Here is a 21706-nt window from a genome sequence, read left to right as displayed (position 1 = left end):
GAGGGCCAGAAATAGACCCACATATATCTAGTCAACTAATCATTGACAAAGAAACAAAGGCAATACAGTGGAGAAAAGACAGTCTTTTCAACAAATGGTGCTGAAACAATGAAACATCCACGTGCAAAGAAAAGCATCTAGACAAAGACCTTACACCTTTCACAAAAATTTACTCAAAATGAATCAGAGACCTAAATATAAAATGCAAAACTATAAAACTCCTAAAAGATAACTTAGGAGAAAATCTAGATGACATTGGGTTTGGTAATGATGTTTTCGATACAATGCTAAAGGCATAACTCATGAAAAATAATAAGCTGGAGTTTATCAAAATTAAAAACTTCTGCTCTGCAAAAGACATTGTCAGAGAATGAAAAGACAAGCCACCAACTGGGAGAAAATATCTGCAAAAAACATAGCTGATGAAGGGCTGTTATCCAGAATACAAAAAGAACTCCTAAAACTCAACAATAAGAAGACAATCTGGATTAGGATGGTGGAGAGGGGCAGGACTAGCTTGCAGCTCCTGCTCAGATGGATGGAGCAGTGTGTGGAGACTGACATCATGGACTTTTGCTCCAAGAACTACCACAGGTACATACCAGGAAAGTCGAGAGAATCCACAGACACTTTGAAAGAACTAGATCACCACTGCAGTCTCCCTGAGATGCTGAAAAACTGTGGTGGTATCCACGACTGCAAAGCCTGAAGACAGATCACAAGACTCTTTGCAGATACTCCCCAGTACCAGCCTGGAGCACAGTAGCTCCGCTAGGTGACTAGACCCAGAAGAGCAAAAATAATTACTACAGTTTGGCTCTCAGGAAGCTCCATTCCTAGGGGAAGGGGGAGAACATCACATCAAGGGAGCATCCCATGGGACAAAAGAATCTGAACAGCAGCCTTGAATCTCAGTTCTTCCCTCTGTTATAGTCTACCCAAATGAGAAGGAACCAGAAAAACAATTCTGATAGTATGACAAAAGAAGACTCCAAGATCATACCAGCTCACCAGCAATGGATTCAAAACAAGACAAAATCTCTGAACTGCAAAATAGAATTCAGAAGGTCGATTATTAAGCTAATCAAGGAAGCACCAGAGGAAGGTGAAGACCAACTTAAAGATACAGGATATGAAAGGAAAAGGAAAATTCTTCAGTGAAATAGATAGTGTAAATAAAAAACAATCACAACTTCTGGAAATCAAGGACCCAGTTAGAGAAATGCAAAATACACTAGAAAGTCTCAGCAATAGAATCAAATAAGCATAAGAAAGAACTTTAGAGCTCAAAGACAAGGCTTTTGAATTAACCCAATCAGTCAGAGACAAAAAAAAAAAAAAAAGAATTAAAAAAAATGAACAGAACCTCCAAGAAGTTTGGGACTATGTTAAATGTCGAAACCTAAGAATAATTGGGTTCCTGAGGAAGAAGAGAAATCTAAAAGTTTAGAAAACATATTTGAGGGAATAGTAAAGTAAAACTTCCTCAGCCTTGCTGGAGATTTAGATATCCAAATACAAGAGGCTCAAAGATCACCTGGGAAATTTTTCACAAAAAGATCATTGCCTAGGCACATAGTCATCAGGTTATCTAAAGTCAAGACAAATGAAAGAATCTTAAGAGCTGCGAGGCAAAAGCATCAGGCAACCTATAAGGGAAAATCTATCAGATTAACAGCAGATTTCTAGCAGAAACCCTACAAGCTAGAAGGGATTGGGGTCCTATTTTTGGCCTCCTTAAACAAAGCAATTATCAGCCAAGAATTTTGTATCCAGTGAAACCGAGCTTCATAAATGAAGGAAAGATACAGTCATTTACAGACAAACAAATACTGAGAGAATTCTCCAGTACCAAGCTAGCACTACAAGAACTGCTAAAAGGAGCTCTAAATCTTGAAACAAATCCTCAAAATAAACCAAAATAGAACCTCCTTAAAGCATAAATCTCACAGGACCTATATAACAATAACACAATGAAAAGAAAAAAAAAAAAACAGGCCGGGCATAGTGGCTCATGCCTGTAATCCCAGCACTTTGGGAGGCAGAGGCAGGGAGATCATGAGGTCAGGAGATCGAGACCATCCTAGCTAACATGGTGAAATCTCATCTCTACTAAAAATACAAAAAATTAGCTGGGCGTGGTGGCGTGCACCTGTAGTCCCAGCTACTCGGGAGGCCGAGGCAGGAGAATGGTGTGAACCCGGGAGGCAGAGCTTTCAGTAAGCTGAGATTACGCCACTGCACTCCAGCCTGGGGGACAGAGCGAGACTCCGTCTCAAAAAAAACCAGACCTTCAGGCAACAAATAGCACAATCAATAGAATAATACCTCACATCTGAATATTAACATTGAATATAGATGGCCTAAATGCTCCACTTAAAAGATGCAGAATGGCAGAATAAATAGGACTTCACCAAACAACTATCTGCTGCCTTCAAGAGACTCACCTAACAAATAAGGACTCACATAAACTTAAGGTAAGGGGGTGGAAAAAGACATTCCAAGCAAATGAACACCAAAAGCGAGCAGGAGTAGCTGTTCTTATATCAGACAAAACAAACTTTAAAGTAACAGCAGTTAAAAAAGACAAAGGGGAATATATAGTAATAAATGGACTAGCCAACAGGAAAATATCACAATTCTAAATATATATTCACCTAACACTGGAGTTCCCCAATTTTTTTTTTTTGAGATGGAGTCTTGCTCTGTCACCCAGGCTGGAGTGCAATGGCATGATCTCAGCTCACTGCAACATCTGCCTCCTGGGTTCAAACGATTCTCCTGCCTCAGCCTCCCGTGTAGCTGGGATTACAGGCATCTGCCACCATGCCTGGCTAATTTTTGTATTTTTAGTAGAGACAGGGTTTCACCATGTTGGTCAGTCTGGTCTCAAACTCTTGATCTCAGGTGATCCACCTGCCTCAGCCTCCCAAAGTGCTGGGATTACAGGCGTGAGCCACTATGCCCAGCCTGGAGCTCCCAAATTTATAAACAATTATTACTAGACCTAAGAAATGAAATAGATGGCAACACAATAATAGCGGAGGACTTTAATACTCCACTGATACCACTACACAGGTCATTAAGACAGAAAGTCAACAAAGAAACAATGAACTTAAACTATACCCTAGAACAAATGGACTTAACACATATTTACAGAGCATTCTACCCAACACCTATAGAATATACATTCTATTCATCAGCACATGGGACATTCTCAAGATAGACCATATGGTAGGCCACAAAACAAGTCTCAGTAAATTTGAGAAAATTGAAATTATGTCAAGTAGTCTCTCAGACTGCAGTGGAATAAAATTGGAAATCAACTCCAAAAGGAACCCTCAAAACCATGCAAATACATGGAAATTAAATAACCTGCTTCAGAATGATTGTTGGGTCAACAATGAGATTAAGATGGAAATTTAAAAATTCCTTGAACTGAATGATAATAGTGACACAAGCTATCAAAACCTCTGTGATACAGCAAAAGTGGTGCTAAGAGGAAACTTTATAGCATTAAATGCCTACATCAAAAAGTCTGAAAGAGCACAAATAAGGTCACACCTCACGGAACTGGATAAACGTGATTAATCTAAACCTAAACCCAGCAGAAGAAAATAAATAATGAAGATCAGAGCAGAACTAAATGAAATTGAAACAAAAAAAAAAATACAAAAGGTATATGAAACAAAAAGCTGGTTCTTTGAAAAGATAAATAAAATTGACAGGCCATTAACTAGATTAACCAAGAAAAGAAGAGAGAAGATCCAAATAAGCTCAATTAGAAATGAAACAGGAGATATTACAACCGATACCACAGAAATACAAAATATCATTCAAGGCTGCTATGAACACCTTTTTGTGCATAAAATAGAAAACCTAGAGGAAATGGATAAAGTCCTGGAAATACACAAACCTCCTAGATTAAATCAGGAAGATATTGAATCTATGAACAGACTAATAACAAGCAGCAAGATTGAAATGGTAACAAAAAAATTGCCAACAAAAAAGTCCAGGATTCACAGCTGAATTATATTAGACAGTCAAAAAAGAATTGGTACCAATCCTATTGACACCACTCCAAAAGCTAGAGAAAGAGGGAATCCTCCCTAAATCCTTCTATTAAGCCAGTATCACCCTAATACCAAAATCAGGAAGGACCTAACAGAAAAAAGAAAACCACAGACCAATAACCCTGATGAACAAAGATGCAAAAACCCTCAATAAAATACTAGCAAACCGAATCCAACAGCATATCAAAAAAATAATCCACCAAGATCAAGTGGGTTTTATATTAGGGATGCAGGGATGGCTTAACATACATAAGTTAATAAATGTAATACACCACATAAACAGAATTTAAAAAAATCACATGATCATGTCAATAGACACAGAAAAAGCATTTGACAAAATCTAGCATCCCTTTATGATTAAAACCCTCAGCAAAATTGGTATAGAAGGGACATACCTTAAGGTAATAAAAGTAATCTGTGACAAACCCACAGCCAACATCATACTGAATGGGTAAAAGTTGAAAGCATTTCCCCTGAGAATAAGACAAGATGCCCACTTTCACCACTTCTGTTCAACTTAGTACTGGAAGTCCTACCAAGAGCAATAAGACAAGAGAAAGAAATAAAGGGAATCCAAATCAGTAAAGAGGAAATCAAATTGTTGCTGCTTGCTGATGATGTGATCATATACCTAAAGAACTCTAAAGACTCCTCCAAAAAGCCCCTAGAACTGATAAATGAATTCAGCAAAAGTTAAGGATACAAAATTAATGTACACAAACCAGTAGCTCTTCTATACACCAACAGCGATCAAGCTGAGAATCAAGTTAAGAACTCAACCCCTTTCACAATAGCTGCAAAAAGTTAAATACTTAGGAATATACCTAACCAAGGAGTCGAAACACCTCTACGAGGAAAACTACAAAACACTGCTGAAAGAAATCATTGATGACACAAACAAATGAAAACACACCCCATGCTCATGGATGAGTAGAATCAATATTGTGAAAATGACCATAGTACCAAAAGCAATCTTCAAATTAAACGCAACTCCCATCAAAATACCACCATTTTTCACAGAGCTAGAAAAAAAATTCTAAAATTCATATGGAACAACAACAAAAAAAAGCCTGCATAGCTAAATCAAGATGAAGCAGAAAGAACAAATATAGAGACGTCATATTTCCAACTTCAAATTATACTATAAGGCCATAGTCAACCAAACAGCATGGCACTGGTATAAAAACTGGCACATAGACAAATAGAACAGAGTAGAGAACCCAGAAATAAAGCCAAATACTTACAGCCAACTGATCTTTGACAAAGCAAACAAAAACATAAAGTGGGGGAAAGAACACCCTATTCATCAAATGGTGCTGGGATAATTGGCAAGCCACATGTAGAAGAATAAATCTAGATCCTTGTCTCAAATCAAGATGGATCAAAGACTTAAATCAAAGATCCGAAACCATAAAGATTCTAGAAGATAACACTAGAAAAACCCTTCTAGACCTTGGCTTAGGCAAAGACTTCATGATCAAGAATCCAAAAGCAAATGCAACAAAAACAAAAATAAATACATAGGAATCAAACTAAAAAGCTTCTGCAGCGAAAGAAATAATCAGCAGAGTTTACAGACAACCCATAGAGTGGGAGAAAATATCACAATCTGTACATTCGACGAAGGACTAATAGCGAGAATCTACAAAGAACTCAAACAAATTAACAAGAAAAAACCAAACAAACCCACCAAAAAGTGGGTTAATAAAAAAGAATGAGTTCATGTCCTTTGCAGGGACATGGATGAAGCTGGAAACCATCATTCTCAGCAAACTAACACAGGAACAGAAAACCAAACACCTCATGTTCTCACTCATAAGTGGGAGTTGAACAATGAGAACACATGGACACAGGGAGGGGCCTGTCGGCGGGTAGGGGGCTAGGGGAGGGATAGCATTAGGAGAAATACCTAATGTAGATGATGGGTTGATGGGTGCAGCAAACCACCATGGCACGTGTATACCTGTGTAACAAACCTGCACGTTCTGCACATGTATCCCAGAATTTAAAGTATAATAATAATAAAAAAGTGGGCTAAGGACATGAATAGACAATTCTCAAAAGAAGATATACACATGGCCAACAAGCATATGGAAAAATGTTTAAAATAACTAATTATCAGGGAAATGTAAATCAAAACCACAATGCAATATCACCTCACTCCTGCAAGAATGGCCATAATCAAAAAATAAAAAAAACAACAAATGTTGGTGTGGATGCAGAGAAAAGGGAACACTTTTACACTGCTGGTGGGAATGTAAACTAGTACAACTACTATGTGAAACAGTGTGGAGATTCCTTAAAAACTAAACATAGACCTACTGTTTGATCCAGCAATCCCACTACTAGGTATCTACCCAGAGAAAAAGAAGTCATTATATGAAAAAGATACTTGCACATGCATGTGTATGGCAGCACAATTTGCAAATGCAAAAATATGGAACCAGCTTAAATGCCTGTCATTCAATGAGTGGATAAAGAAAATTATCCATATATATATGTGTGTGTGTGTGTGTGTGTGTGTGTGTGTGTGTGTGTGTGTTTGTGTATGTGTGTGTGTATACACCATGGAATACTACTCAGCCATAAAAAGTAATGAAACAATGGCATTCACAGCAACCTGGAAAAAAGTAGAGGCTATTATTCTAAGTGAAGTAACTCAGAAATGGAAAAACCAAACAATGTCTGTTCTCACTCATATGTGGGAGTTAAGCTATGAGGATGCAAAGGTATAAGAATGATACATTGGACTTTGGGGAAAGGGTAGAGGGTGGCGAGGGATAAAAGACTACACATTGGGTACAGTGTTCACTGCTCAGGTGATGGGTGCACCAAAATCTCAGAAATCACCACTAAAAAACGTATTCATGTAACCAAATGCCCCCTGATCCCCAAAAACCTATTGAAATAAAAAAATTGAAAAAAGGAAAACAATCTGATTAAGAAATAGGCCAAATATTTCACCAAAGAAGAAATACAGGTGGTAAACAAGCACACAAAAAGATGTTCAACATCATATATTATTAGGGAATTGCAAGTTAAAACAAGGAGATACCACTACACACCTATTAGAATGGCCAAAATCCAGAACACTAAAAACACCAAATGCCAGTGAGGATGTGGTGCAACAGGAGCTCTCATTCAGTGCTGGTAGAAATGTAAAATGGTTCAACTACTTTGAAAGATAGTTTGGCAGTTTCTTAAAAACTAAACATACTCCTACATATCATCCAAATCCCCTGATATTTGTCCAAAGGGGTTAAAAACTTAAGTCCACAAGAAATCTGCACATAGATATTTATAGCAACTTTATTTATAATTGCCAAAATCTGGAAGCAACCAAAATGTCCTGCAGGAAGTGAATGGATAAATAAACTGAGGTACATCCAGACAATGGAGTATTATTTAGTGCTGAAAAGAAATGAGCTATCAAACCCTGGAAAGACATGGAGGAAATTTAAATGCATATTACTAAGTGAAAGACGCCAACCTGAAAAAGCTACATACTATATACTACATACTATATAATTTTAACCATATGACTTTCTAGAAAGGTAAAGCTATGGAGACCGTAAAAAGATTAATGGTTGCCAGGAGTTAGGGAAGATTAAATAGGCACAGCACAGAGGAATTTTAGGATAGCAAAACTACTCTATGCAATACTATAATGGTGTGTACATGGCATTATATATCTAGACTTGCAGAATGTAAAATACAAAGAGTGGACACTAATGTAAACTATGGACTTTGGGTGATGATGATGTGTCAGTGTAGGTTCAGCAACTGTAACAAATGTACCATTCTGGTGGGAGGCTATGCATGTGTGGGGACGGGGAGTATACAGGAAACCTCTGTAGCTTCCATTCAATTTTGCTGTGAGCCTAAAACTACACTAAAAAATAATGCCTATTTACTTAAGGCGCTTAATTGTAAAATTAAAGTCACTTGTGTCTATAAACTTTTTTTTAAATGAAACACTAGGGAAAAGTTTTATGCTGAAATCTTATGGATTGATTTAAGTTATACTAAAGGCCCTGCTCACGAATGCTGAGTTCTCAAATAAAAAACAATTATTCTTCTTAAATATTTATTTCTCTTTTCATCTTACTTTCCATAGGATGGATTTGTTGACTTTTTGGAGTTTATTGCTGCTGTAAATCTAATCATGCAAGAAAAAATGGAGCAAAAATTAAAATGGTATTTTAAGCTGTATGATGCTGATGGAAATGGTTCTATTGACAAAAATGAACTACTGGACATGTTCATGGTAAGTGAAGTAGTAAAGTATCCTTTTCAGGCCGCTATATAGTTAACCCAATTTCCCTTCCTATGGAGTAGGTAACAGCTGTCTATGGGGTTGGCTATTTTGGCGATATACATTTTGAATTGCTGAAGTAATATAAGCTTTACTTAACCTATTGATTACTGAATGGGCAACAGCAAATCAGCTTTTTCTTCTTGGTGCAGTCCACCCTGACATTCACAAATTTAACAGAGCATTGCGATGAAGAAATGAAACAAATATGATATTGTAAAGCAACTTATCTTTTTCTGTGCCTCAGTGCAGAATGCCTTGTGAGGAATAGCTAAACTATGAGATGGTTTATATATATTTAACAAGAGACATGGACTAAGAATGAAGGTATGTGAGGACTAATCTTTCTGGGAGCTATACTGAAGTATTTCTAATAGTTGGTTCAGGGATCTCAGATCTTTTCCATATCTAAAGTTCAATAAGTGCCTTTATAAGCCACTGTACCACCACCCCAATGGAGTAGGAGATAGTTATTATCATGGTATGAAACAACAAAGATCCCAGAGTAAAAAAATGGTTAAGCAGGACACTATACCTAAATGAAGATAAGAGGTGTAATTAATATTATGAATTCAAGACATTGAATTTGTAAGGCAGACTCAAAGAGCATTAGAATTAGATGTCTTAGAAATGATCTGGTCCAAATTATTTGTTTCATAGATGAAGGAGCTGAGTTACAAATAAAATACGTAGTAGAAATATTAGCAAAAATGCCAGAAAAATAAGTGAGTAGAACTACTTTTATAATTAAACTTCTCAACAAACGTTCAAAGCAGATAAAAATGTAAAGCTAAATAAGCGAATGTAGAGTTAACCAACATATGGAAAGAATTCAAGGGTAGGATAATACCGATATTGCTAATGTTTTAATTTCACATAGATCATTCACACAAAAAAAATGTGCTAGGATTCACTTGGCAAGTGAACAATTTAGAAATTCTGCCTATACCTTATATATTGCAACACAAAATTAGAAATCAAATATTCTATAGAGAATACACAACCTCGTGTAAATTTTAAAATATTCTCTTAAATACTCAGCTTTTTCTAAAAACAATGAAAATGTAAATACAGCATACAGATCTTAGGATGCCACCAAAGCATTTCTTAATGCTTAATGCATTAAGCCCTTAAAGTTAAGGGCTAAACTTAGAAAGGGAAAAAAAGAACATAGGAAAATGGAAATAATAAAAGCACAGAACAGAAATTTAATAATTAGATACCATTCGTCTCTAATTAAATTAATCAGTACTAAAAACAATAATAGCAAATTCTGGTAAGAGCATGGTAAGGAATGCACCTTACACACTGTGGAGAGGGTGTAAGTGGAGAAAACATTCCGGGAAATGTGGTAATCTGCGTCAAGAGGCTAAAAGCTGATCTTTGTTTTAGAGTTAGCATTACTTATTTTGAGTCAGGAAAAACAATTATTAAGGATAAAAGTCCTGTGATTTATATCACAGAATCTCTTAAGATAGCAAAAAATTTTAAAAAACTGAAAGAGGAAAATGTTTAAATAAATTAATGCAATGGAATATATACTTATTGAGAAATTGGTAGCCTAGGAACACACTTTCTATATAATGGGCAGGTGAAAAAAATCAGCAAGGTAAATACAAAGTGTATAATCTAAGTTCTCTCTGCATACAATACAGAGGCTAAAATGGAATTCAGCCCAGGCATTAAGAGATTGCAAGGAAGTACCACAGTATAGGCAGGCTCTACAAAGGAGATAGTTACAGCTTAATCTCACTTCAAGGGTATAAAACAGTCAAGAGAAAGGTTTTTAAGGATTTTTGAGGGACATTTGTTTAGTAGGACCCCCCAGGTCAATAACATGGGGATGTTAGGAAACCATTGAGATGTGGTTGTATCCTGCAATTTGAGGGCCACAGCAGTGAGTGTCTGAGTCATGAGTGAGAAGTCTAAAGAAGCAAACAGTGGCAGCAAGGGTGCACATTTTGGAAGTATCTGCCTTCCTAGAATTTGTTGGGACAAAGGATGCTAGGGTGTTTTCCATAGATCAGGCATGGAACACTGTGAGAGGAAGCTGGCATAGAGCTATGTTAGATCTTATCCTGCAGAGCCACTGGAAGAGGTGAAGAAAACTCAAAGCTGCAGGTAGACCTAGAGTACTGTCTATTCAGGGGACATTTCACAATGTCTGGAGACATTTTGGTGAGTTGGAGAGTAGAGAGGGCGTAGGGCTGTTGCCATCTATTGCTCAGAGACCAGGGATGCCGCTAAGTATTCAACGGTGCACAGGACAGCCCTGAACAAGAAAGAATTGCCTAGTCTAAAAATGGCAATTGTGCGGATTTTAAGAGTTTTTTTTATTTTTTTGAGACGGAGTCTCGCTCTGTCACCCAGGCTGGAGTGCAATGGCACGATCTCGGCTCACTGCAACCTCCACCTCCTGGATTCAAGCGATTCTCCTGCCTCAGCCTCCTGAGTAGCTAGGATTACAGGCGCCCGCCACCACGCCTGGCTAATTTTTGTATTTTTAGTAGAAACGGGGTTTCACCATATTGGCCAGGCTGGTCTATGAACTCCTGACCTCGTGATCCGCCCACCTCAGCCTCCCAAAGTGCTGGGACCAAAGGTATGAGTCACCGTGCCCGGCTGCAGATTTTAAGAAATTCTAAGCGGGAAAGGGACCAGCTGGAATCAAGATGCATGATTCATGCCTACAGAATTGCAGGAGAGAGAGTCTACACCTCTCAGGCCAGGGAACACTGAAATTAGCTAATGGGGACAGTACTTGCCAAGTGAGAACTCTCCTGCTTCCCTTTCTCTCCTGCGTCCTCCTGCTCCCACATAGGGAGTACTCAGAGACTGCGATTAGGAAACTAGGGAAGAAAGAGTGCATATAGTAAATGAGGAAGGAAAGAAGAAGAAGAAAAAAAAGCTTCTTGCCTATCCCCTGATCCTGCTGCTTCTATTAAAAAAAAGAAGGAAAACGGAGCAAGCTGAGGACTCCCTCCAAAAATATTATCCCCTCAGTGCTCCTCCACTTTCCAATCAGTATTTCACTTTCACTTATATGACCTGAAGATTGGTGATGAACAAATCAAGATCTCACAATTTTTTATCATGACTTTTTATGTGGGCTAATATCACTTCAGAATGTGGGGATACTGGATACTTGGCCACATTTTCTAGGCTTTTGAAGCCTCTGACCAAACACTGAGAAATCCTTAAAATTTTCTTCAAATGTGATGCTGTATGTATGTAACTATTACTTTAAATACTGTCCTATATTTAACCATGAGATCCATCAGACCTAAACTTGCTAAAGCCAAGACTGGTTAATAATGATAATAAAAAGCTACCATCATTTATTATGATTACTCCTGGAACTCAAGTTTGGTAATGCTTGAGAAGAAGCAAGAGAGAGAGAGTCATATTTATGATTGTGTCCTCTAATTGAAATATGTTGCTAGAAGTTTTTCTAAAGATTCCTTCATGTTCAATCAAGATAGTTATGTTCAAATTCCCAAATGAATAATCCTCTTTCATTTTATTTTGAAGTTCTATGTCAAGTCTGGGTCATTTAATTTAATCACCTTGGAGTTAGGGGAGGCTGGCTACATCTTCCCTCTAGGAAGGCTGGAAATGTCATTTGCCCCCTGGGCCCTGACAGTATGTGGGAGAAATTCAGGGCCCTTCTAAGGTGTATATATCTGTCTCCCCAGTCAATCATTCCACAAAAGGGCACAAAGAACCAGGGGTGCCAGCGGTGGAAGCCGGAGAGGAAGCTTGAGACTCTTACAGCATTGTGGTCATCCTTTTACTTTCATCCATAAGACCCAAATCAATCTGTCTGAAATTGAGAGCAATATCTGTTTTCTGGGTCTGGAATTCTTATGATCATGACCACTACAATATTTTCTCCAATGGGCTCATTGCATCTGTTGTGATCTAATATGTTGAATGGATCCCTGTATGCTGTATAAAATAGGGCTTCAGTCTTTATTCAGTTCATTTAATTTCCAAGTCTCATTACCCAGAACTGACATACAATCTTTTCTTTTTATTTACTTTTAACAACTGGTACAGGTTGGATAGCAACCGACAACACATCCCCAAATTCTGTCACATCGGAGCAGAAATGTTGCAAAATGTATTTGCTTCCAGAAAAGTTGACCTCTTTCATTTAATGTCTTTTTGCAGGCGGTACAAGCCCTCAATGGCCAGCAAACTCTGAGTCCTGAAGAATTCATCAACTTGGTGTTCCATAAGATCGATATAAACAATGATGGTAATGGAGCTACTCTCTACTGGATCACTTTTCCTACAAAGTAGGAGATGGTGGTAGTGGGGAGTGTTATTTAGACAAAAGCAGGAACCATTCAAGAGAACCCTAGTTGTGACTTAGGCTTCATAATGGGACCAATCCAATGTTCTCAGTATGATTCAATTGAGTAAATATTTATTGATCATATTCATTTCCAATGTGTGGTGCTTGACATGTTGGGATATATAAAGAGTAAAGGTGAGATGAGCAAATAAATCAGAATAATATAGGATGAAGTAAGTACCTTCTGCTGTTTGCTCTGAGACACATTCTATTAATCAGTTCCTCTCCACTGGAGAGGAAAACTCTCCAGTAACAGAAAACTTGAGCTTATAAATAAACTCAAGTTTTCCCTACTGCAGAAAACTTTCCTTCATTTATGCTATCTTCTTCTACTATCAGGCTTTTTTCTTCCTTTGGACTAAACATTTCTGGAGAAGAGTCCACACTTGCCTCCATTTCTGCTTTTTCTACCTTTTCTATCTACATTTCTGCTCTGATTATTTCTCCATCTGCTCTTTCTACTCTGTAATCTGGGTTCCTGTTTAGCTCAGAGGAGGTACCTTTCTTCTTCAGAGGTAGGAGTGAAGAGAGAAGACACAGACAGCCCAAGAGAAATGAGTGCTTCTACCATGTAGCTTTGATATCAGCAAACAGGTAGGTGAGCATAAAGACTTGAGATTGAGGCAGAAGATCTAGGAATGGTCCTTGAAAAACAGAAAATTTGACATTGTTAAAAATATAGGATATTAGTAAAAGGTTTAAGAAAACGGATAAGAGGCATTGGCATGCCAATCACAGTTGTCATCATTCCAAAACTCCTTCCAAAGGCATCAACCTGCCCACCATGCATCACTTCTTCTGGTGGACACAAGAGGGCAGTAGAGACACATGTTCCCATGTTGAGTGTGACAGGTTGTACTAGTAAAATGTGGCAGCTCAGCGTGGCAGGATGGGATGGTGAGGCCGGGAGGAAGCTCAAATGCAGCCACTGCTGCAAAAAAGCCAAACGACTGGACAAGAGTATACTGCTCAAGAAAGAAATTTGAAGATGCATCAGTTGCATCAATCTTCTTCTCTTAAGCACCTCGGTGTAGATCTGCCTCTCCTGAATCTCAATTCAGTATGCTCACTTACTAGTATACTGACATCAAATAATGAAACATGTCAGTACATGTGAAAGCTTGTAAGAAACAGAGTCAGACTACCCAGAGTAGATAAGGAGGCTACGTGCAGCCAGGAAAGGACCAGAGAAATGGAGAGTGGAGGGTCTGATGAGGACAATGAAGACTTTATTTGGAATATGCCACTGAAAATCGTGGTCATCGAACTGGAGAAATGCTGTAGATTTTATTCTGTTTCACTTTGTTTTTAATCTTAGAGGTGCTGCAGGATGGCAGGGATTGGAGTAGAGTAAATCATCCATTTCAGCCTGGGGCTGAAAGCACTGATGTAGAAGAATGAGTACTCCGGAAGTAGATGGGACATCACAAAGTTTTAAGACTTGGTTTATACAGTGACTTTCAAAAGGGCAGGTCAAGAATGTTTAATAATATCCATGAACACTGCTTCTAGTGCTAGGAGTGAGGGGAATAGGAAAGTGACCTTCCTCGGAGAAGTACGAAGATTTTGGTATTCTTAGGAAAACACTAAGATTCTATTAGTTTGAGGACACAGATAGTGTATTCGAGAAAACATGAATATGATTCAGGACTTTTTGTTTACTATCCAAGAAGGTTCCCCAAGGGCAAAGTATAAGGAATCGATAAAATGGGGACTGTGATTAGAAAGGAACTTGAAGTAGAAAGGGCTGGGTTAAAAGAGACGTGAATTCAGAAAAGAGAAATTGTGCCTGGGCAATAGCTGAGGTTACCTGAAGTTAGAGAGATGAGCTCTTTCACTTACAACAATAAGTCAGCGACAGAAAAAAGGAGATGAATTATGGTTTCTAGAATAGTTTATAAAACTAAATACACTAATTGTTTCCTCTTATAAAAACTTGTATTACTATTATTATTATTATTTAAAATGGAGTCTTGCTTTGTCACCCAGGCTGGAGTGCAGTGGTGTGATCTCGGCTCACTGCAACCTCCGCCTCCTGGGTTCAAGCAATTCTTCTGCCTCAATCTCCCAAGTAGCTGGGACTACAGGCTCCCCCCACCATGCCCAGCTAATTTTTGTATTTTTAGTAGAGACGGGGTTTCACCATATTGGCCAGGCTGGTCTCGAACTCCTGACCTTGTGATCCACCCTCCTCAGCCTCCCAAAGTGCTGGGATTACAGGTGTGAGCCACCGTGCCCAGCCCCAAAAACTTGTATTTTAAGTAAAAAAAATATACGCACATCCACATCTATATACACTTTGGAGTACCTATGAATCGCTATTTCTTAGCAAATGCATATACAGAACTAAAACTGATAGAACTTGCTTTTGTATAAAAATTATTGACATTTGTTACATCGTTTCATCATGAGACAGCTGGATCATTCCATACATCAAGAAAAAGATGTTAACAAATGTGCTGGTGAACAGAGACAGCCCAGTGTAATCAAAGACAAGGAAGAAAAAGTGATGAAGACATAAAAGGTTGATATTTGCAGAAGTACAAAAGGATTTGGCCAGTATTTGACAGAGAAGAATAATATGAAGTGCTTCATTTACAAATAAAGGGGGAATTAGCACCACAGAGGAGAATGTCTATTCACATTTGTAAAAGCTAAACTCTGTATACCTCAAATATAATTTTTTATTGTTCATTATCATTGTTATCAAAACATCAGCATTGATAGAAATAGAGATGCTCAATTAAGTATACCAAAATGCTGTTGACTGTACACTGACATATATATATATATATATTTATTTCTCAAAATAAAAAGCAAGCACATCATTATGCCGATAATATAATGAATATTGAAACCAAAAGTAAAGATGATCACAGCACACAAAGATACAACTAAAAAGACTTTAGGTATGCATATGAAAATCCCAATTTGATTGTTAATTGTTTGCAAAAGAATGGTCAACATCACATCTGTTGTGACAGAAAAATACACAACAGTTGTGAAATATTCTAAACATAATTCTCATAATAGCAAATCAAAGTTAGAAGGTTAAGCAAAATAAAGGTACAGGATTAATGCTAGATTTATAACAAGATGAAGAGCTATGAGCTCCACAAAGGCCAGAACCATTTCCGTTTTGTTTACTTTGATATTTCCTATGCTGGCACACAGTAGGTGCTCTATAAATAACTGTGAAATGAAAGAGTGTCTGCTAAGAAGATGTCATGTAAGAAATAAAGAAAAGATTAAATCAAGAAACAATATGCAATTCTGTCTATAGGAAGAAAGGTATCTAGAATTTTTTTTTTTTTTTGAAATTAACAAATACATGTATATATGTTAAAAACTTCATAAAATATAAACCTGGATCAGTTAGCAGGAGTTAATTACCTTTGGGAAATCAGACCAGGTGCCAGAAAGAGGTTAAAGGGCAATTTTTTTCTTTTCTTTACATCTTTCTGTATTATTCAATTTTTTTAATCATGAGGACATATTATTGTTATAATTTAACAAATTAGTTTTATTTTTATATTACGAACAAAAGCATCAGGAAAGAGAGCTTGAAGAGACAGAGGCAAAAAATTGAAGCTAAACATTCAATATTATTCAAAAATGAAAACAGAGAAGACAACAAGACAAGTCAGGAAAAATGATTCAGTGTGGAATTCTGCAGGCTTTACCACCAGAAGAATAGCAATCCATATTCTACCATGCTCTATTTAGGCATCATTCTTGACATGATTTAGGGAGATTTATAGGTGTTCACAACATCAAGTGCAGAAAGTGCCTCGGTAAGTCTCACATAGAGCCAACTAAGGCACAGGGGTAAGGGAGACTTAAGTGGCTCTTAATAACAAACGGTGAAGGTGAAAAGAGGCCAAACAGGAAATGAAAAGGGTGATTATTATTATTATTATTATTGAGACGGAGTCTCTCTCTGTCACCAGGCTGGAGTGCAATGGCACTACTCGGCTCACTGCAACCTCCGCCTCCCGGGTTCAAGTGATTCTCCTGCCTCAGCCTCCCGAGTAGCTGGGATTACAGTCACCCACCACTACGCCCGGCTAATTTTTGTATTTTTAGTAGAAACGGGGTTTCACCATATTGGCCAGGCTGGTCTCAATCTCCTGACCTCAGGCGATCCGCCCGCCTCGGCCTCCCAAAGTTCAGGGATTACAGGCATGAGCCACCATGCCCGGCCAAAAAGGGTGATTATTGAGCAGATATTTTGGGTAAAAAGAACAAAGTCAGGACACAAATAAATGTTATTGATTAACTAACAAGAAAGACCAGTGCTTTAGACTGGAATATTGTGAAAAGCCACGAGGGTCACATTGAATCAAACTGGGAAAACGAGAATTACCAGGAGATAAGAGGGAACTGAGTTTCCACGTAGAGGAAAAGAAACTACTGCATGCTAAAGCTCTCCTGTAAAATGTTGCTAAATGCTTCTAGTGCCACCTTGCTAATAAACACAATTCTGTGACATTCAAAATCTTCACCAGCATCCTCCCTTGACAACTTGGTTATTCTTATCTCCTGAATCTTCTCCAACCTATCTTTGCTACTGTTCCAGCCCCAGCTCAATATTTTATGAAGTTATAATGAAAAGAAATTAAAATTTAAAAAATCCTCTACACAGGCTGATTTATTTTAAAACCAGGATGACTTCTTTAGACCAGAAATGCTAATGTAGGCATGCACAGTAAATTCTGCTTTTTTGAGGGGGTGGGGGTGAAGGAGAATGTTTTGTTTTGTTATAAAAGATTATTTAAGATGTAAATGGGAAGAAATGCACGATTTAGGAATATCAACAGGTAACCGGATTGCAAAAACAGGACTAATTAAACATTCCTGGGTAGCTATTCTATTACTAATGAAACTCCTGAAATTGGTAGTGAGTGATGAAAGGGCCACCAGTGATACTGACCTTCAGGGTCCCCAGACATACAGAATGCACCCACCAATACAACAAATAGCCCTAAACAACGTAGATTCCAATTACATATATTTCAACTTATAAAAATAAAATCGTGAAGTTTCTGAATAATGTCCTACAAAAATTGAAATGTGTCGGCCGGGTGCGGTGGCTCACGCCTGTAATCCCAGCACTTTGGGGGGCCGAGGTGGGTGGATCACGAGGTCAGGAGATCGAGACCATCCTGGCTAACATGGTGAAACCCCGTCTCTACCAAAAATTACAAAAAATTAGCCAGGTGTGGTGGTGGGCGCCTGTAGTCCCAGCTACTCGGGAGGCTGAGACAGGAGAATGATGTGAACCCGGGAGGCGGAGCTTGCAGTCAGCCGAGATAGCCCCACTGCACTCCAGCCTGGGAGACAGAGGGAGACTCCGTCTCAAAAAAAAGAAGAAGAAGAAAAAAAAATTGAAATGTGTCTGTATATATAAAACAAAGTAATAAAAACTCAGTAATGACTTCAGATTACTTCTAAGTCCCATGATCTCCCTGCTCTATCATCTCTCACAGGCATTGGCTTTTTGCTGGTAGAATCTTTGCCTTTTTTTTTTTTCAGACAGTCTCGCTGTGTCACCCAGGCTGGAGTGCAGTGGCGCCATCTCGGCTCACTGCAACCTCCGCCTCCCGGGTTCACGCGAATCTCCTGCCTCAGCCTCCCAAGTAGGTGGGACTACAGGCGCCCTCCACCACGCTCGGCTACTTTTTTGTATTTTTAATAGAGATGGGGTTCCACTATGTTGGCCAGACTGGTCTGGAACTCCTGACCTCGTGATCCGCCCACCTTGGCCTCCCAAAGTGCTGGGTTTACAGGCGTGAGCCACCGCTCACGGCCTTGCTGGTAGATTCTTTAGTGGGAAGCTTCTGGACCTCCACAGGTGACTCTTTCTAGGGAAATACGGAAGCCCATTCTTTTAATTTGTTGGGGCGTAAATCCACAGTCAAATCAAAGCAGAATAGGAAGTAATGTTAAAGAACATCAGATAAAGGAAGGCAATTAGTCAGTGTGTGCCTTCTGAGCACCTACCATATTCATAGCACTGTCGTCGGCTATAGTGGCGGTAGCTGTGTGGTAATAGAAATGGTAATTGTGGTTAGGGCTTAATAAACATGATGAATAAATGAATGAATGTTGAGTGCTGGAGGGAAACTGAGGAAAATTTCAAAAGAAGTAGTTTAGATATGGTAAACATGTTACTATAGGTAGAGTTTGATGATTTGGAACAGAGATTTTTTTTTATGGTAAGTGGTTAGGTAACATGAAAAAAGTTAATAAGCAGAATTCACAAGTGTTTTGAAGAAAGTGAAAAAACAGCAGTGAATACTTCCATCTTTTCTGTCTTTTCCATGTCAGTAACCTGTATTGCTTTTCAGCTGAGACCACTACTATATCCCGGTTCTTTCAGATGCTGCCTCTTCTATAGCCAGTAGTTATAGCAGAGAAGTTTGATAACTAAACAGTCAAAACTGTCTCCAGCTCCACTTCCACTTCTCTCTTGGTCATGCTGAGCCCCGATAAATTTGAAAAGTCTTTGGGGTTGGGAATTTGCCAGCTGTGATTTTCTTTTGCAAAGGGCGGTTATTCTGTGATTGTTTGAGGTTCCCTACCCCGTTGCCACTGACCCATGGGACTCTCCCCTGCCACACACATACCACTTTTAAAAATTTGCAATCTTCTCTACTCCCTATGGTTTATTCTACGATTGTACCTTTTCTGTGACACACATGGGGCCCTACTCATGACTGCTGTTAACTAAGGTTTTTCACAGACCTTTCTTTGGCATAAGCAAAACATAAAGAACACAGATTAGATTTTTCTCTTAAAAAATGCATTTTAGCATTTTGCATTGAAACCAAAAGGGAGGTGTCTTACGAATATATGATGATGCATGCTGTTTGACATTTGAATCAATATTGTGGTATTTTAGATATTTGTCTTCTCCATTAAAAAGTATAGGTACAGCCTAACACCTGACTTCAGTCCCTGTTGACTTCCTTCCTTGAATGTACTTTCTCCAGTTCTTGAATGCACTCCGTCCGTCTTTGGCTGATCTATCCATCCACAAACCTCCCCTGGGTACAGTCTCTTTGAGATCAATAACTGCATCTGTACCCTTCAACTTGAACACACTCATAATCCCAACCCAAATGATTTATATCAACAGAGAATTCCCCCTCCCCAAAAATGTTTGAAAGTCATCTTGTGGGGTGAAGGTAGTAGAAAAACATGGCAGCCAGGACACATGGATATAAGGCGATAAATTTACAGCAGTGGGCTGGCCAGCACAGACCTAAGGTGTAAGTCAAGGTGATAAGATCAGGACTCAAAAACCAGAAAAGGAGTAGAGAACTAATGAGCAAAAATAACCTGTGGAATGAACACATGTTGAAGCTTTCTCACAGCTTTAGACAGTCCCAAGAATTATTTCTTCAGAGAGAAGAATATTGAAAATAGCCTTGTGAGTAGTCATTTTGTCTTGATCTTAAAAATCTCCAATCTGTCATGCTCCTAAGACTTGGTCATATCTTCAAGATTAAAAGTCCAAAAACCAATACTGTGCAGAGATATAATTGCATATGTGCTCTTATTTCATCTGGGGCATTACCTGATGTTTTCAACTAAACGTAAAAATAGTTTCATTATCTTTATTTTCATTGGCAACACCACCAGTGAATGCTTTTTTTTTTTTTTTTTGTTTAAATGAAGATCTTCAAAGATCTTAGAGTCTGGTTGAGGGGAAAGGATATCAAAAGAATATCAATAAACATACCAGTGAGTATATCATTTGTGCCAGTGAGTGGTATAGACAAAGCCTCTTATTAACTGTTTATTATTTTCCAGGGGAATTGACTTTAGAAGAATTTATCAATGGCATGGCAAAAGATCAGGATCTCCTGGAGATTGTTTACAAGAGCTTCGACTTCTCCAATGTGCTGAGAGTAATCTGTAATGGGAAGCAGCCAGACATGGAGACAGACTCCTCCAAATCTCCTGACAAGGCTGGTCTAGGGAAGGTGAAAATGAAGTAGCTGTGAGAATACCTGTCCCAGCTATCAATGAGCACAACATTTCAGTAGAGAAGAAATAGAATCTTCCCCATGTACATGCTGTTGATTTCAGGTCTTTGTTATAATTCATATAGGCTTGTGAATATAGCACTTATTTTAATCCAGTAGAGACTTGCATAAAGATCCTAAACAGATGCATTGTTGCTTTTCTGTGCTGTCTCTGCAGATTAAAACATAATGATTACACTAAAGGATTGTCTCCATACCTATCTGTTCAAATTAGAGCTCTCATATGTGTTTCCTTGTGCACTTAATCTACACCTTGAAATAGATCTGGATTATCCATTGGAAAGTGTCTCCACAGTTTAGCATTCTTAGATTAAACATCCATGTGGTAAATGTGCTTGCTGCCTCTTTGCTCCTGTTGCATCTGTATATTATAAATGACTGAGTTCTGGCTTATCTGAGAAACTTTTTTTTCTGCACTTATTTCTTATTCATGAATGCTGTCTTGCATTAGTAATGATGCTCTGCTTCAAAAGAAAAATCTTAAGCTATGTAGTAAGAGGGAAAAACTTCAGGCTGGGCAGTGAGAATGTTTTCATATGATTCATTATAAATTTGCATCCAGTTGTGCATGAAAATGCGATGTATCATCTGTAATTATTATGCCAGTTGGAGGTTTGATCAGAACAGCAGACAGCCAGGCTATGCAACAACAAGCACTTGACATTTTAAACAGTCCTGACATTATAGCTCTGACATTTCATTTTTTATATCCTTTCCAGAAAATGAAATGATGAATGGGATTTCTTGATGGGTTAGAACTTTTTAAGGCTTGAGTTCTATATCACAGGCCCATTAGTATGTCTGTCAACGACTGGCTTTCTTGTAGAAACACAGTGGAGGTTTCTAAGACCAGATGTGAACCATCTTTATGTCAAAAGCTTCATAATTAGGCTTTCATATTCAA

General features: G+C 38.3%; 1 protein-coding gene across 3 annotated transcripts in view; it reads left to right on the top strand.

Annotated features, from left to right (window-relative positions):
• The window catches only part of GUCA1C (guanylate cyclase activator 1C), a 47404-nt gene extending 26420 nt beyond the window's left edge, over positions 1 to 20984 (top strand). For 2 of the 3 annotated variants that reach the window (XM_011513334.3, NM_005459.4), the window contains exons 2-4: positions 8191 to 8340; positions 12562 to 12649; positions 20567 to 20984. In XM_011513334.3, the coding sequence (XP_011511636.1) occupies positions 8239 to 8340; positions 12562 to 12649; positions 20567 to 20754 (378 nt within the window). In that variant the 5' untranslated portion in view covers positions 8191 to 8238 and the 3' untranslated portion in view covers positions 20755 to 20984. Of the gene's footprint in view, positions 1 to 8190; positions 8341 to 12561; positions 12690 to 20566 lie in introns of all 3 variants that reach the window. The other variant, NM_001363884.1, reaches the window with a different exon arrangement.
• Positions 20985 to 21706: the final 722 nt, after the last annotated feature.

The sequence above is a fragment of the Homo sapiens genome, chromosome 3, assembly GCF_000001405.40.
Source record: "Homo sapiens chromosome 3, GRCh38.p14 Primary Assembly".
NCBI classification, from domain to species: Eukaryota; Metazoa; Chordata; class Mammalia; order Primates; family Hominidae; genus Homo; species Homo sapiens.
The sequence above is the reverse complement of the archived record's forward strand: the minus strand, read 5'-3'. Positions and strand labels throughout refer to the sequence as shown.